Here is an 18088-nt window from a genome sequence, read left to right as displayed (position 1 = left end):
GTATTGTCCAACATAGTAGCCACTAGCCATATGCAGCCATTTAAATTTTAATTTGAATTAATTGCAGTTATATAAAATTTAAAATCTAGCTCTCCATACTAGCCATACTTCAAGTGCTCAACAGCTACATGTGGCCAGTGGCTACCATACTGGACAGGTAAGACATGTAATACTTCCAACATTGCAGAAAGTTACACTGGACAGTGCTGGTATAGATTTTCAATCATGTCAAGTGAAGCATCCTCAAGGTCACACAGCCAATCAGCAGAAGAACCGTGAATGCTAGTTCAATTCTGTCCTCAGGATTTCTAGAATTTAACAGTTTTTGGACATTATGTTTCTAAAATAGTTTGTTGGAATAATGCCAGGAGGGCTGGAAGACATTCTCAAACTCTCTCTCTCTCTCTGCTTGAAGATGTTTTTCTCTCTAACTGGTAATTAAGAAAATGTCCTACTGCCTTTTAAGGGAAAGGAAACATTTCAGCATCAAAAAATATATTTTGCTTGGGGTTGAAGCATTTTTTCTAGGGACACATTTTGGAATTTGCAATATAAGTTACTCACAAAGTATGATTCACCTATAAAAACTCAATCTATAAACAACTTCCAAATTCAGACTTACTACAGATACTGAGAAGACATTTGATAAATTCTTTATTATTCCAGATTACTGTTTTTAAGAACCAAGAATAAAACAATATTTATTTCACGTAATTAAAGATAAAACAGTAGATGTACTTAAATTAAAAATCAGAAACAAAACACGGATGTCCACTATTATCATTTTCCTAAATATTGTTATAAAAGTTTTAGCTTAATCAATAAAATTGAAACGGAAATAAGGGGTACTAATTGCTGAAAAAGAAGGCAGAAAACTAACACTGTTGCTACAATAATTAAAACAATGTATTACCTGAAGCCAGGCACAGTGGCTCACGCCTGTAATCCCAGCACTTTAGGAGGCTGAGGGGGGGCGGATCACGAGGTCAAGAGATCAAGACCATTCTGGCTAACATGATGAAACCCCGTCTCTACTAAAAATATAAAAAAAATTAGCCGGGCGTGGTGGCGAGCGCCTGTAGTGCCAGCTACTCAGGAAGCTGAGGCAGGAGAATGGGGCGAACCCGGGAGGCGGAGGTTGCAGTGAGCCGAGATCGCGCCACTGCACTCCAGCCTGGGTGACAGAGCGAGACTCCGTCTCAAAAAAAAAAAAAAAAATGTATTACTTGAGAACAAAAACCAAAAGCCAGTAGAACAGAAGAAACACTTCAGAAATAGACTGTTGATATATTAAAAGTAATGTATGATGAAGAGAGGACCACCAATGAGAAAGAAGTTGGATCATCTAATCGATTGTGCTAGGGAAACTGAAGCTACTTTGAAAGAAAAGAATTGTTTCAAGCTGTATCTTACATTCCACCACAAAATAAATTCTAAAATACTCAAAAGATCGATCTGAACAGTCATAAAATAAAATAACAGTTAATTATTCATCTTATCCCTGAATCAGGAATAATGTTCCTAACATAAAAGCAATGAAAAATTAACCAAAAAAAAAAACCCAACAGATTGATATGCTTGAATACATAAAAATCTGAAACTTCTGCATATCAAAAATTATAAAATTACACATCCAACAAAACTAGAAAAAATACTGGCAATAACATGACAAAAGCCTCGTGTCTTTAATAAACATTTTTACAAATAAAGGGAAGACACAGATATCTTCATAGACACAAGAGAAAAACTGGCAAAGAACATGAATAGACAATCCACAGAAAAAATATAACAATGGCTAACAAACATTTTTTAACATATAAATCCAATTAGTAATCAAAAAAACACAAATTAAAGCAAGGTTTCATTATTTGCCAATCAAATCACCAAACTCTGATCAAATGACACAGTGCTCTAACATACTACCGTTAAGAATGTTACTTAGTACAATCTCTCCACAAAGTAATTTAGCAACAATCATCAACACCCTTATAAAAGTATTCACGTACTTTGAGCTAATAATTCTAATTTGAAGGGTCTATCCTAAGGACACAAATTTGAAATGTAAGTCAAGTTTTATGTACAAAGATGTTAATTATGTCACTGTTTATAAGGGGAAAAAATGTAAACATGAATGTCTGTATTAGTCCATTTTCAAACCGCTATAAAGAACTTCCCTGAGACTGGGCAATTTATAAGGGAAAAAGGTTTAACTGACTCAGTTCCGCATGGCTAGGAGGCCTCAGGAAACTAACGATCGTTGCTGAAGGCAAAAGGGAAGCAAGGACCTTCTTCACATGGCAGCAGGAGAGAGAATGGGGGGAGCTGCCACTTATAAAACCAACAGATCTCGTGAGAGCTCACTCACTATCAGGGAAAGGCATAGGTGAAACCACCCCATAATACAATCATCTCCCACCAGGTCCCTCCCTCAGCACCTGGAGATTACAATTTCAGATGAGATTTGGGTGGAGACACAGAGCCAAACCACATCAATGTTCAAATAACAATGAATCAAGTAGACTGTGTAATTCTACATGATGAAATTATATTTACTACAAATTCTTAATACCAATGAAAAAATTATGTAAACCAAAATATACAAATGTACATATAGCATCATCTCTTAAACATGTTGAAACTTTTTAATATGCATAAGAAAAACTAAATAAACACACCAAAATATTAACAGTGGTTGCTAGCCATTAGAAATGGGTAATTTAATTATTTATATTTTTCTCTATCTTCTAAATGTCTATATTGAGTATATTTAAATCAGAATTTAAAGTGTATATTTTGTTAAATAAGTTGTCTTCATTGTTTTAATTTCTAATGGTACAGTATTACTCAATTTAGATTTGAAACAATAGCCAGAAACAAAATCAACCCTTACCATAAGAAGAGGGTTTAAATTTATACTCAGTAGAAGGCTACCATGCACCCAAATTGTTAAATACCTACATTCACAAACACCACTAATCCACACATTATCTCTAGCACAAGAAAAGAACTCGGTTTTTCAGGATGCATGGTGATGACCTCCATTTTAAATATACAAAACAGTTGGGGAAGCTGTTTACAAAAAAACTCTATGTACCTATCATTCTTATACTTTATTTTTAAAATTAAATCTCAAGTTTTCTGCTTTTTCCACAGAGATTCCTCACATGGATATATTTAATTCTTTTATATAGAATATTAGTCAAATTTTTAACTCATGTAATTTATCATTAGCATACAAAATTGGTTTCTAGGGCCTAAGGACACTCTTTTGAAAACATTTCAGTCTGAAAAGTTTGTCTTGGATCAATGCCTAAAAGAATAGAGTTGTCAGCACCATGAATCAGGCAATGTCAAACCCTTTTCTCTCACCAGTGACCATCTTCTTGCTACTTTCTCTCTAGCTGAACAGGGTAGTAAGCTTTATCTTTAAGTTTGACTCTAATGACAATTAAGAGCAGGAACCACAGGCAACTCAGAGATAGATCGGGATCTCTCATACTGCCAAAATCATTATATACAAAAACCCCGTTTTTCCAAATGGCTATAGCCAATAACAAACCAATAAGCCAAAAAAGTTCATCTTCAAATGAGTTTGTGAAGAGATCTAAAAAAAATTAAACAGGATTTTCCTTATGATCTTTCTCATGCTTTTTTTAAAATGCTAATGTAATGAGATTCAAAGAGTTATGAATCTCCAGGTGGAAGAAACAACATGCAATATTTCCCGAGTGTACTTAACCCACTATCCTACTATCATGGCACACAGAATCATTTCTGGAATAGTGCTCTAAGCAGCTAATTTTGGAACTGCAGAGGTAGGTGTGTATACATACAGTACCACAAAGCCCACCTCACCAGACGAAGACATGGGATGATGTCTTGCAGAAAAAGGAGTGAGAAATAACTAGAATGCATATTGCCTACATTCCCACTAATCCATATTTTCTAACTGACATCAACTGGAAATGAATTTCAGTATGTGAAAACTTCATTTTACAGCCATCTTTTTACAAATATATCTACTATAAGAATTAACATTCTAATTATAAACTAATTTGGTTATAAATAGAATGTTTACTTCCTTGGTATATTAATGACAAGCTATAGTGAAGGAAGAATATATATGAAAAATTAAGAGATCAAAACCATAAACACAAGATAATAAACCTTCCTCAGACTGACCCAAGGGAGGTCTAAACAAGACCTGTGCAGGACAGACTTAGAGCTTAAAAGTTCCTGGGACCTTCAATAATTATAGTAAGTTGGTGGCCACCCAGAAACCTCAAATAATGAGGCAGGCTGCAGAGCTCCAGTCTCTGGTTTTCCTCTCATAAACAGACTGTTAATTGTCCCTCAATACTCATCCTCCCATCTTCCTTTTAGTAGAATAATTACAACTTCTAACATCTATATAATGCTTCCTTTGTGTCAAGCCCTGTCCAGAATCCTTCATGTGTCCTCCCCTATAACCCCGTGAAGTAGGTACTCCTATTACCCCCATTTTATGAATAAGAAAGGATATACAAAGAGGTTAAAAAGCTTTCCCAAAGTCTTACAGCCTTAAGTGGCAGAACTGGGAATCTAACCTGTCCATCTGAAGGAAACTCCCTCAGTTTCCCTTGCAGCTAGATGTGGCCACGTAATGGTTTGGGACAAAGGGATGTGACCATAAGTACAACTTCTGGCTCTTCTCCTTAAAGTTGAAAGCACATTCCCTGGCCTTTCTCTTCCCTGAATGCTGGAACACAGACTGGAGACAGGGCAGCTTCTACTATGTGAGTGGGACCAACTACCTGGGAGTAACAGCATGAATGGAAGCTGGGTCCCTGAATGATCCTGTGGACTACAGCAGCCTTGGACTGCTCAACTTTGGGCTATTTGATGAGAAAGGAAACATCTACTAAATTTCAACTATAAGACTTAGGTGTCATTGGGGTATCTTTGTTAAGAGCAGCTTAATCTCATTTTCTTTTGGCCCAGAACTTTGTCTTCTTAAATAAACTACTAATAATTTGTTTCTTAATAAAACTTGTTTCTCAGCTTTAGTCCAGATAGTAACTATAACTTACTAAATGCTTACTTGATACTGTTCTAAGCACTTTACATATAATAACTCAGTTAATCTCAAACTTATAGGGGAGGCCCTGTTAATATCCTCATCTAAGAGAAGAGAACCTCAGGCACGGGTTAAGTAATTTGTTCACCACCACGGAGCTACGCAGCAGCAGAGCTGGGATGAACAAACACTGTGACATCAGGTCCTAGCTGAACAACTACATTCTAATGGTTGAGGTATTATTAAGGTCACACAATGCATTGAAGAAGTTCAGCCCCTTGAGAAATCTGCAACACTTACAATAAGTAATGTTGTTCTAGAACAGGTCTGTGTAAAATAGCAAGGAAGCATCACAGTTGAAGTACCTGGGGCCAGCAAGGATGAGCAGTAAGCATGGGGTAAAGATAAGTGAGGATCAAAAATGAGTTCACAGAGGTGATAACTGCACAACAATGCACTGGCTAGAAGTAAAAATTCACCAGGTAAATGGGGGCCGAGGGAGGGAGCAATAAGAGAATGGTATAGGCAAAGGCCACGTGGCATTAAACCCCTGCAACTGCTCCAAGTCACCAAAGATGCTGCAAAGAGGCCACACGGGGTGCTGTGGGCAGGAATGGGCAGGCAACACTGTCAGAACACGGGTCAGAAGCACCTACTTCAATCTCATTTTTCACTTTTTATTTCTAAGTTCCAGCCACAAAGATGACAAGGGTGCCTGAATCTTTCATTTTCATAGTTCTTAACATGCAAAAGACAAAATCATTTCATTCCCTTAAACTTCAGTCTTCTTATCCATAAAGTTACTTCAGATTTCTCAGGGTCAAGGATGAAGGAATCCTGTGCATCACCTGGTCCAGCCACTCCATGCTGCCAAGAATCCACTCTGCTAGCTCTGAGACAAAGGGTTGCCCGACCAGCTGTCCCAAGTGGATGGAGCACAGCCACAGAAGGCCAGCTCACATCCCTAGTAAAGGTTTTCTGTATATTATGTTAAACTTGGCTTCTTTGTCGTTTTTACTCAGTGTCCATATCAAGCCTTCTCAACCAATGCAAATAAATCTGCCACTTTTCTAGCTGACAGCCCTTCAAATATTTAGAATCTTGGAAATAGAGGTTATAAGATATTTTCCAAGTACTATAAATACCTCAAAAATATATAAACAGATACTTAAACATTCTTAGTTATGTTAATTACCTACTTCCAAAACTCATTAATAAATAAATACTCTACTACTCAGCAGTGTGTCAGATATAGGCTAGCCTGAAAAAAAAAATCACTTATCTTAAAGTGACTACTGAGTATACTTAAAAATAATTTTTCAAAAAACCAAACATATGGCTAATAGAAAATGGGATCAGTTACGAGATTACATTGGACCAATTAACATACATAGCATTCATTAAAATACATCTTCATTCTTAAACTCTGTCTAAATGAATTTCTTTATTTTGGCTTATACGTGGGGAAATGGTTTCCTTCAAGCTGGCATGCTGGCAGTTAACACTGCATCTTAATGTTAACCACCAGACACACTTGACAGTTACGCCGTGCTTGCTGCCAGGGACTTAATCCCCACAGTATTTCCTCTTCAAACTATTTTGCTTTTGAAGAGATCAAAGCACTTTACCTTATTTTTCCTTATATCTCAAGCGCCTGAGAGGGAAGGTAGCAAGCATAACTAAAGTTATTAACGTTTTCCTCTTAATAATAGTATTACTAATGTCTATAACATAGATGTCTAGAAAAACCATTAATCCCATCCACTAGGTAGCTGGAGCTAGCATAGAGAGTTAGAGGGAAGCAAGACCTGTTAAATCTCCGAACAGTACCAAAAAAGGAAGAAGGCAGGAAAAATGCATGTTCTATATACATGGGAGGAAAGACATTAAACGTCCTTAACGAAAGTAAAACACAAAATGTTTGTATTAATCCCTAAAAGATACTTGAGCTTTTAGATCAAGAATAAAAATATAACATACACAATATTTTAGAGATTTTAAGATATTTTTCAGAGATGCTGCAAAGTGAGATAATCTGGAAATGAACTGAGGCAACACAACTCCTGAAGGTCAGGTAAAAATTAATCTACCAGAGCAACAAAAAAGATTTCACACTGTGATGTAGTTTTAAAAAAGAAAAAAAAAAAGTAAAAGGTGGGCTCCAATCTCCAAGGAAACTGAACCATGAGCCAAATGGAGAAATACTTGGTGATAAGATATATTCTTACATTTCTTTTCTCATAGCATTTTCTTCCTAGACTCCCATGCTCCTTGAGGCAGGCATTCTTATTTTGTAAGGCATAATTCCACATGTGATTAAACTTGGCAAGTTGTAGAAATAAAAAAGGACAGAGAACGAGCTGCAGTGTGCGGAATATCTTACCAGAATACATAAAGCAGAACGATGCATAAGAAGAAAGTTAAACAGGGAAAAGCACACTGTTTGCAAAGCCCTCACTTTTCAATAACCATGGATATGAGGTTTAAAGCTTATGTAGTAAGTTCACCCATTTTAGCATCTAACTTCACAACTCGTTTCAATTTTATTAAAACCCTGGTTAGAATGTTTTATCTGCCTTCACAGAAGGATCCATACATACTAAAGCCAAAAAGATTTAAACCCTAGTTGAAAGGATTTGGGTAAAATGTCATTCTACATTTTCTTAGCATGAGAGCTTGGATTACTGAAACAAGTAAGCTAAGGAGGTGACCTCTCTCCTGAAGCTCTTTCAATCAGTGAATGGGTTTGGGTCTCAACCTTCCTGAAAGACACAGTTACCCACACACTTCCTCCTCCGATATTCATGGGCTGCCTCTCACTTCTCACAAGTATCTGCTGCTCCCATCCCCCATTTTCCCTGACTCCTCTTCCCTCTTCATCTGAAAATCCTTGTGGAGTGTTCACTCTTGCCAAGCACAGGACTAGATACCAGGATCACAAACATGTAAGAAAAGTCCCTGCTACCAGGAGAACACAGTTCAGCAGGGGAGCAGAAGCAAACACACTGCTACAGTCCCTAGGGACAAAGGACAATAGGAAGGTTTGCAAAAGTGCTCAGAGAACACAGAAGAAAGGAGGAGAGGAGGGAAAAGGTGTGTGGGAAGGTTTCAGGCAGCTGAGGCACCTACACTGAGTCTTGAAAGGCTGAATGTATATGTTCGGAGCAGACAAGGGCTGGGGAGGACAGGGTGTCCCAGACAGCCAGAGCAAGATCTGCAAAGGCCTGGAAGCAAGAGCACATGGGCCACCTGAGAAGCCCCAAGAATAGGCTGCAGGCTGTACATGAGAACACAGAGGGAACTGATGCAGGCAGGGCCTGTACTGTGAAGGTCCTTTTACACCATGGAACATTTGCACTTTATCCTAGAGCCAACACACACATGCGCATACATTTTTACATAAATCTTAACAGGGTCACATCTCTTTTCATTGTTACTAGATCTCTGTGGTTAGCACTGTGAAGGATGGACTGGAATGGAGAAAAGATGAAAAGGAATAAGGAGGCTACAGGCAAGCCTGGGATAGAAAAGAGAAGTCAGATTGGACATAAGGAAGTAAAAAAAGCTCAGTGATTTATGTGATATGAAGGGCAAGGGAAGGATCCAGGCTGACCTCTAGGTTCTGGTTTGCACAGCTTATAGTGCCAGCTGCCCTGAGACAGAATCCAGTGCAAGGAAGTGGATTTACCAGGGAAAGATAACGATCTGGTGCTGAACTTTACATTATGACCCAAAAGTATTCAGTAATCTACATTTCTCATCTAATGCTATTAAAGCACCAAACCTAAACTGAACTGTTCCCAGGTTCAGTTACATAGACTATGCAGTCTTGTACCAAATCTGATTCCAAGACAACCTGTCAGACTAATAATCCTGTGGTCAAAACGCCACATGGGTAATAACATAACAGTACTCTAGTTTTCCTTTTTAACACACACCCAAACCACACACCTCAAAATATCTTCTCTTCCTCCTACATATTTATAGCTCTCCCCTAACTTTCTAAAAGGCTAGGGCCAGAGAATTCCATCACAAGACAGAGAATTATAACGATGTTGTTTTAGCCCAGTTGGGGATCACTATAGGGGTATTTTCCCAGATTTCATGGATCAACAAATAGTTCACATAAAACCAGAGCTCATAAAAAGAATTAATATAAACATTAAACTTCAGGAAGAAAAATGTTATATCCTCAAAATGCCATTCTATGCAATTTGGTGCTGGTGTAGGAATTCAGAATGTTAAGTAAGAGACAAAGAAAGAAGCCATCCCACCAGTGATTTTCATATCTTCTCATTCCCTCTTCCCCATGTACATGTGCTGCTGTTCCCCATAAATGCAAATGACAACACTATGGCTTGTTGCCAGTAATACAATAAACTCAGTAAGATGGTACAGCATCTCATCACAAGACCTAGCAATTCCACTACTAAGTACCTACCAAAGAAAAATATACATCCATGCAAAGAGTTGCAAGCAAATGTTCATAACAGCATCATTCATAATAGCCAAAACTTGAAGACAATCCAACTGTCCATTAACTGATCAATACATAAACAAAATGTGGCATGGCCATTGATATACAATGGAATATCACTTGGTCATAAAAAGAAGTACTGATACATGCTACAACATGGATGACTAATGAAAACATTATGTTAAGTGGAAGAAACCAGACTCAAAAGACTAAATCCTGTGTGATCCTACGTTATGAAATTTCTAGAAAAGGCAAAATTATAGAGACAAAGCACAGATCAGTGGTTGCCTAGAGCTGAGACGGGCACAGGAATTAACCACAGACTGGCAGGAGGGAACAATGTATGGTGATGAAAGTATTCTGAACTGGACTGTGGTGATGAACATATAAAGTAATGTATCAATTTACTAAACCACTGAACTGTACTGAAGTAGGTGAGGTATGGCATATAAAGAACACCTCAGTAAAGAAGAAAAAAAAAAAGAAGACCTTTATCTTATAATGTTATAACACAAGTAAAATTGATCTCTCATCATGCAAACCTAATAATTCCGTAATGAAGACTGTGCTAGAATGTTACTTTCAACTTCACAAGTTTGTACTATATTCCAATAGTACAGAACCACCCATTCCTCCAAGACCCTATGACTGTGTACATTCTGTTAGTCCTGCTGGAAATGCTCTCCTTTACATGTCAACCTGGCAAAATCCTTCTCATCCTTCAAGTTTCAACCTAATGTTCACACCTTCTCCTACCATCAGACTGTATCTTATACGAACTTCCAGTACAGTAATGAGCACATCATATGGTGAAAGTATGTTTGCACCTCTCTCTCCACTGAACCAATGCATCGCCAAGGGAGATTCATGGACCTATTCTTAGGGGTCCACAATATGTAAAGAAGACTATTTTTAAATCTTCTTTCTCAATGTCCCAGTTTGTACTGCATTTAGAGTCATGATGGGGCAAACTATTACCATTTCCATTGTCTGTCACTAACAAAAAACCAAGAGGCAGACCTACCACACAGATGATGCATTTGGGGCAACAGGAGACCAAATGAAATCATACTGCACTCCACAAGAACCAGGACTTCAGCATTTCCGACACAGAACTAGGAACACTGAGTCATCCCACGCAGGAGAGGTAGTCTGAACTTAAAAACCTCTGCCGGGATGAGTCAATACAATATTTTGTATTGCAAACAGTCCTTCTGTTTTAGCAAAACAATGTCATCTGTCACATTAATACAGTCAATTTGGATTTCAATGACTTTATAGTTTTATATTTCATTACAAACTGGCTTTGGTTTATAGCTGTAAAAAATATGTAAGCATAAAGTGCTTACTCCTAGTTACAGGTTTCTACATACTTCAGTAATATTATAACAAAAGTAATGTAAGTCAACATTGGGAGTTCAGATAATTGTTTTCCCTTTGAAACAGAACCATATGTTACTCAAATTAGAGAAACAGTACACTAGAATATATACCCTTTCATAGCAGAGGCCGTATCTTTTCCTTTCTGTAGCCCAAATGCATGGCATAGGAAAAACTCTCATAAAATATGGTTGAATAAATGATAGTTTGCATTCTGCTGCTACTCCAAATGAAAAAAATGTGAACTGCTACTGTCTGATAATGCCCTCGGCTAATCTATTTTGGAGCTTTAAACTATGGGGAGTTATCCTGCTCTCAAAGGTATAAAACCTAACTAAGCAGAACTTGTAGAAGGAGTGGAAAGAAGGTGTGGGGAAGGGAGGGAAAGCAGGCATTCTGTGACTGAAACAGATCTGTCATTCACTGAACTATTTCAAAATTAACCAGAGGCAAAAAGAACATTTATGAAACATTTTCCTAGAGATACGGTCTGGCTGTGTCCCAACCCAAATCTCATGCTGAATTGTAATCCCCAGTGTTGGAGGTGGGGCCTGGTGGGAGGTGACTGGATCATGGGGGTGGTTTCTAATGGTTTAGCACCATCCCCCAGCACTGTTTCATGATTGATAGAGTTCTCACGAGATCTGGTTGTTTAAAAGTATACGGCACCTTCCCCTTCACTCTCTCTCCTGCTCTGCCATGTGAAGATGTGCCTGCCTTTTGCTTTCTGCCATGACTGAAAGTTTCCTGAGGCCTCCCCAGCCACACTACCTGCACAGCCTGCAGAACTGTTAGCCAATTAAGCCTCTTTTCTTTATAAAGAACCTAGTCTCAGGAAGTTCTTCATAGCAATACACCTAGAAGCCAGGACTTAACCTAACACCCACCTTTTGGTCTTTTTCTAACCCCTTCCAAACTGGGTCTTCCACATCCCTCTTCTCCTGTAATGGAAACACCGGCAAAGAGTAAAGTCAGTAATAAAGAAATAGTAGGATGGAAATCCTTATTCCTTTTATTCCTGTACAAGGCCCCATACTAAGTGCTGAGATTACAGGGTAAGACAGGGCTGGAGTTACAGGGCAAGAGGCCCAACAAGATCATAAATAAAATGCATAATTAGAGATTCTGAACAGTGCTATTTTACATTCATCATGTCTTTACAAAATTTTATAATCATCTTTACAAAATTTTATACATCATCTTTACAAAATTTTATAATCATATCTATCATATTAGCAATTTTGTAACTATATTATGCATATATTAGGTGTGATGGCCAGTTTTATGTGTCAATTCAGCCAGGCTATTGTCCCTAGTTATTCGAACACTAATCTGCATGCTGCCATGAAGGTATCTTGTAGATGTTATTAAAGTCCATAATCAGTTATATTTACATAAAGGAGATTCTCCTAGATAGCCTGTGGGGACCTAACTGAATCAGATGAAAAGGCTTAGGAGCAGAACTCTGGCTTCCCTGAAGAATCCCACCTGTGGACATCAGCTTTGGCTCATGCCCAAGAGTTCTAGTCTGTCTTTCCTGGCAGACTGCTCTATGGATTTTGGACTCACCTAGCCAGCCCCATAATCACATAAGCCAATTCCTTGCAAGAAATCTTTTTAATATATCTCTTGCTAGTTCTGTTTCTCTGGTTGAATCCTCAATGATACAATAGGATTGAACAAGGTAGTAAATATGCTGTAGTAATGAGAACCAAGTTTCTCACTGTCTACGAAAGAAGTTACAAGTAAGGGAAAAGAGAAGGCTAGAATGATTCTTAGGGTGTTAGACTGGAATCAGCGGTAGTACAGTATGAGTATACACATGCACACACACAAATACATGTATATAGAAATAAATATAGATGTATATACAAGCATATGCTAGTATACATGCATGTTTTTCCTAGCTCTCCACCAAGATAGTCTGGAAGCAATGATAATCCAGTAGCAATGAGTTCAATTAGCACCCAGATCCTGACTTCTAAATATCATCTTCCAATAAAAGGAAATGAGGCTCTGTGAAAAAGTGGTTGATTGCAGGCTGAGACAGGGAAAATACAAGGTGAGCCTAAAACATCATATGCTGCTAAAAATCAAGGAAGTGCCCAATGGGGCATGTCAAAAGGACACAGGAGCCAACATGCTGAAACTCAACAATGGCCAAAGCTGAAACAGTCTGAGCAAAAAAGTAAATAACAATTTACTTCTTTGAATTACAATCATAGGACAAAATAAATATCCCAAACTCCATTTTGATATAAAAAACTGAATAAATATTTAAATGAAGGAGAAGGGACAGACCGTCCTTACGGAAGAATTCCAATAAAGAAAAAAAGAAATAAAGGAAATACAAAATCACCATTAGGCAAACATCACAGAAATAACTTGCAGGCAAGATCTACTGATGGATGCTAAAATCAGCTGGTGAAAGTCTAAGGGAAAACATGAAAATTCATCTCAACGTGTCTCCCCCAAGATATTTATCAATTACAAGGGAACAATAATAACTACAGAGAAGAATTAAGCAGACATCACCTTCACTAAGTGATCAAGGTAAGACATTTCATCATCATTTGTATGCAGTGTATCCTGCTGTGATACACTAAGAACACATTACTTCTGTGGACTTCTAGACAAAACTGGATAGCCTCAGCCTAACCACAAGAACACACTGACTAACCCAAATTGAGAGGCAGTCTACAAAATAACCGACCAGTACTCAACAAAAGAGTCATGGTCATGAAAGACTGAGGAACTGTCACAGATTAGAAGGGAGTAAGGAGACATGACAACCAATGCAATGTGAGATACTAGACTGGATTGTGGAACCAAAAAAAAAGGATTGGGGAAAAACTGGTGAAATTCATAGAAGATCCGTAGTTTCAGCAATAATATTGTACCACTGCTAATTTCCAGGTTCCATAATTTTTCCATGAATATGAAAACTGATATTAGAAGAAGCATGAAGGATATATGGGAACTCTCTGTATAGTTGAACAATTTTTACATAAGATCAAAATGAAAAGCAAAGAAAAAAAGCTGTAGTTTAAAAAGATCTAAATCTGGTCCTATAATTTTTTAATCTTAAAAAAAATAGGGCAGTAGTTTTTTTCATCTTTTTTATTTGAAACATGAAGGCTATGTACTCCTATTTTTATTAAAAATAAGTATTATAAATAGCAATCTTTAGTGTTTAAAAAAAATTATGCCATAACCTCATCCTATTTATTTACAATGAAAAGGAACTAAACTGGCCTGGAAGGAAAAAAATCAAACTTGAGAATTTTGTAAAGGACAAATGTATATGTAATTATGTGTAAATGCGTATGCAAAGAGAAGGGTGTGGAAGACTGATTCATTCATTCCTTGTTTAGTACATTTCTACTAAGCCCCCACAATATTCTAGACCTCTGCCAGGTTCTAGGTTAGGGATACTACTATGTTGTCCCCACGCAGGGAGCTCACCACCACTTCTAAGTATTAAATTCCTAACTCTGACAATTTAGCAACTGTGAGGCACCCAGTTACTGGTAAATGGGAGCCTAATGGCTCGGTGGGAGTTTCCTCTCGCAAGCCCACCATATTCTCAGACAGTGCAGTGGGTAGGAGCAAGCCTCCACTTAGAGATAATAGCATTCAAGAAGTGGCATGTCTTGATTCTATCCAACAGATTTCTAAATGAGTAATATATTTGTTGCCTATTTACTTGAAACCTTGAGTTTGTTTTAACTTTAAAGGGTGAGCCAAAATTTTACAGATGAAGCAGAGATCAGTGTCGCTATCTGAAGTTATGAGCCCACAGTGACGTCTTATTTCCAAGGGGGATAGGCAGACTCAAATCACAGTAACTTAGAGACCACTGCCAATAAAAGAACTCTCTAGAGCTGGAAAAGATCAGAACTACACTGATATGGTACTGAATAGCCACAAGCAACACCCTTTGCATTTGTTTAAGTTTATCAAGGCCTTTGTACAACGCTACAAGGAATTTTCCTTGTCATGAAATGTTTATAATTCAAATCCAGGAATAGGGTCTGATACGGTTTGGCTCAGTGTCCCCAACCAAATCTCACCTTGAACCGTAATAAACCCCACGTGTCAAGGGCTGGACCAGGTGGAGATAACTGAATCTTGGGGGTGGTTTCCCCCATGCTGTTCTCATGACAGTGAGTGAGCATCATGAGATCTGATGGTTTTACAAGCATCTGGCATTTTCCCTGCTTGCCTCACTCTCTCTCCCGCTGACCTGTGAAGAGGTGCCTTCTGCCATGATTGTAAGTATCCTGAGGCCTCCCCAGCCATGCCGAACTGTGAGTCAATTAAACCTCTTTTCTTTATAAATTACACAGTCTCAGGTATTTCTTCATAGCCACATGAGAATGGGCTAACACCTGGTCTATGAAATAAGTTATCTCCTAAAAACTGTGAGGCAAATTCCACCTCAGAAAAAACCTAACAGACCAAAGACGAAAAGATGTTTAGTTGCCCAACTGGCCATTCTCGTGCCAGCCAATCTTGCCTTGCCAGTCCTAACGTCCGTCCTGACAAAAGCCCTGAGGGCACAGGGGCGCACATACAACATTCTGGTCTGATGTCGTCTCTTCCTACATTTAATTTTCCCGGACCCATACACACAGTAAACAGAATAATGCCTGGAAAATGTTAAGCATTTTCATTATGAATCAAATGGAAACTTTGTCTTAAGTTGAATGAAACAAGTTTTAGTTTCATCTATGCAACGGAATCCCAGACTTCCCAGGAAACTGTTCAGTACTATGAACAGCCATCCCTCCCTGATGGTCCAAGCCTTGCCATAGCCTTTGGGTTCTCACCAAACCAGACAAAACGACTATTTTTATACTCCTGAACTAATGCTTTCCTCAGCAGACAGGACAACTAAACAATAGAGTACGAGGGGAAAAAGGATAGAAATCAATGTTCAGCTGCTATGTCAGCAACCCCATGCCCAGGCCAGCAAACCTGCCAGCTTCATGCATCTTTCCCATTCTCTTGGCCTTCCCTCCTGTACCTCAGGATGAACAGCAAAGCTCCCATAATACCAAGTCACCCCCCAACTTGCCCATTAGATCCTGTGGGCACCAGTTCTTGCATCATTAATTTTTCCATCTTGTGGTTAAACCAAAATTTCAAATTGAAAACACTATTAAGTCCTTGGGATAAAGTTAAAAACTAAAAGTACTTTTAAGTCTTCAATATTCTTCTTCCCTGCCGTTATTCCATAAGGAGAAGTTGACAAACATCCTCTTAAAGAGGCATATGATCCTACTGAGGATTGTATGGCATCTGCATATAACTCTTTAATGTAGGTAGTCTTGACTTAGAAACTTTCAAAAACTTGTTTTCAAAACAGGAGTTGTTTTCAAAGGTTTGCTTAAATTTAATGTCCTTTTCTTTTTAGACCTCACTGTGAAGGCAAAATAGAACTTAAGGAGACATTATTGTTGTATCTACTGTTGCTTTGACTACTTTTGAAGAAATTAGATTAATTTGCACCTAACAAGAATATATTCAAATGGCTTTCATTTAAAGTGACCATAGATATGGTTGTAATTCATTTTAAATGAATAAGTACAATGGGGTAGAAGGAATTTGCTTGTGTTTTGGGAGGAGGAGGCTGTTATTAACTATTCTTTACAAGTCCTGACGACATTCATGAGAAGTGTGCATCAATTCTGTAAAATTATAAACCTTTCAGATGTAACAGCACTCAATTGAAGCACCCAGCTCTAAATTATACATGTTTGAGGCATGACGGGTGATTTAGCTATAATCAACAGAGCTATACTTCCATTTCATTCAGACATGTGCTAAGACGTTAACAAGGCAGGAAAAAGAGAAGGGGGAAGGAGGAAAGGTCCATTTTCAGAATAAATTAATCATTCATTTCTGATGAAAGCCAGAAAAGCCAGAAATTTTAACAGCAATGAGCTGCCCTACAAATGACGAACTTCAAATACTAAAATCTCACCTTTTTTTTTTAGTAAAGAAGCTGGTTTGCATCACCCCTTCCAAAGAAAGGAGCTGAATTTTACCAGCTATAAAGACTGCCGAATTGGGAGTGGTGTGTGACATGATTACTGTGAGGACTTCTGGCCCAGTTTTTCTTTCATCTGTGCTAGTAGAGTCTCACTGGATAGCAGAATCATATTTTTAGAAAATTATCTTTAAAAAATAAAGTTTGCAACATAGAAAAACAGAAAAAGGTGTGTGTGGTGGGGGAACAAGCTGCAAACATAGAAGGCAGTAAGAATTTTTTTAAAAAGACCTTCAGGTACTTAACAAAAGTAAATCTAAAATTTTTTAATGAACCATAATGTAAAACGTACCCAAAGAAGAAGAATGAAAAGGAAAAGTAAACAATAATAAGCAGCAACAAACGGGGGAAAGAAGTCAGTTCAATAAGAAATGAACTGTCATAGCGCAACAAAAAACTTCAGGGTACTTTCCTTAGAAAATAAGCAATCTCATAGCAAATATATAAAAATCAATCAATTTTCATAGTTTCATAACTAGTCTAAGACAATTAAATCACAGAACTACCAAGCACAAAGAAAACCCACTATTTTTCAATCCCACTGTATTCAGCAGCCCACAAGGTCTCTCTCCTCCCCCATCCTCTCCCTCCTCCTCCACCTTCCTTGGCCCATCTGTCTTCCTTTCCTTCCTCCCGTTCTATCTCCACCTCCAGCCAGCACCAAACCAAGGAAAGTGATTGGGTATGTAATGCCCTATCATTTAGGGTGTGCGAGAAGCAAGGCACATTGTTAGATAATTAAGGATTCTGTGGCTTATTCAGTGAGTCCCCCTCAACCCAGCTGTCTCCACAATTCTGAAAATCCCTCCAGTACCCTGTCAGGCTGGAACAGCTTGAATCACATGTAATCCCCATTTTTTCCCATTGCCTTCCCACATGTTCATCAACTTTGTCAGCAGGAAAGAAGTAAAAGTCAGGCTGTGAAAAGGCACCTGAGAAAAGAAACAAATCAACAACACAGGAGAAATCATTGTTTCAACCTGAACTGAGCGTTTCCATAATCACACTATTGAGACTTCACACAAGCTGAGTGAATGAATGACAGACATTACTAGACTGACAATATGCGAAAACAATGTGCTTACTATATATTTTAGTTATGCCATAAGTCAGTTATAGT

At 38.1% G+C, this 18088-nt stretch overlaps 1 protein-coding gene across 5 annotated transcripts in view; it reads right to left on the bottom strand.

Annotated features, from left to right (window-relative positions):
- PELI2 (pellino E3 ubiquitin protein ligase family member 2) overlaps positions 1–18088 on the bottom strand; it is a 183114-nt gene that overhangs the window by 144724 nt on the left and 20302 nt on the right. For 2 of the 5 annotated variants that reach the window (XM_011536990.3, XM_017021479.2), the window contains exon 2: positions 11801–11854. The exons of the other annotated variants lie outside the window; for them this stretch is intronic. The gene's annotated coding sequence lies outside the window, so the exon portion shown is untranslated. The remainder of the gene's footprint in view (positions 1–11800; positions 11855–18088) is intronic. 5 annotated transcript variants of the gene reach the window in all.

The sequence above is a fragment of the Homo sapiens genome, chromosome 14 (assembly GCF_000001405.40).
Source record: "Homo sapiens chromosome 14, GRCh38.p14 Primary Assembly".
Lineage (NCBI taxonomy): Eukaryota > Metazoa > Chordata > Mammalia > Primates > Hominidae > Homo > Homo sapiens.
This window is presented reverse-complemented; position numbering and strand designations above follow the sequence as displayed.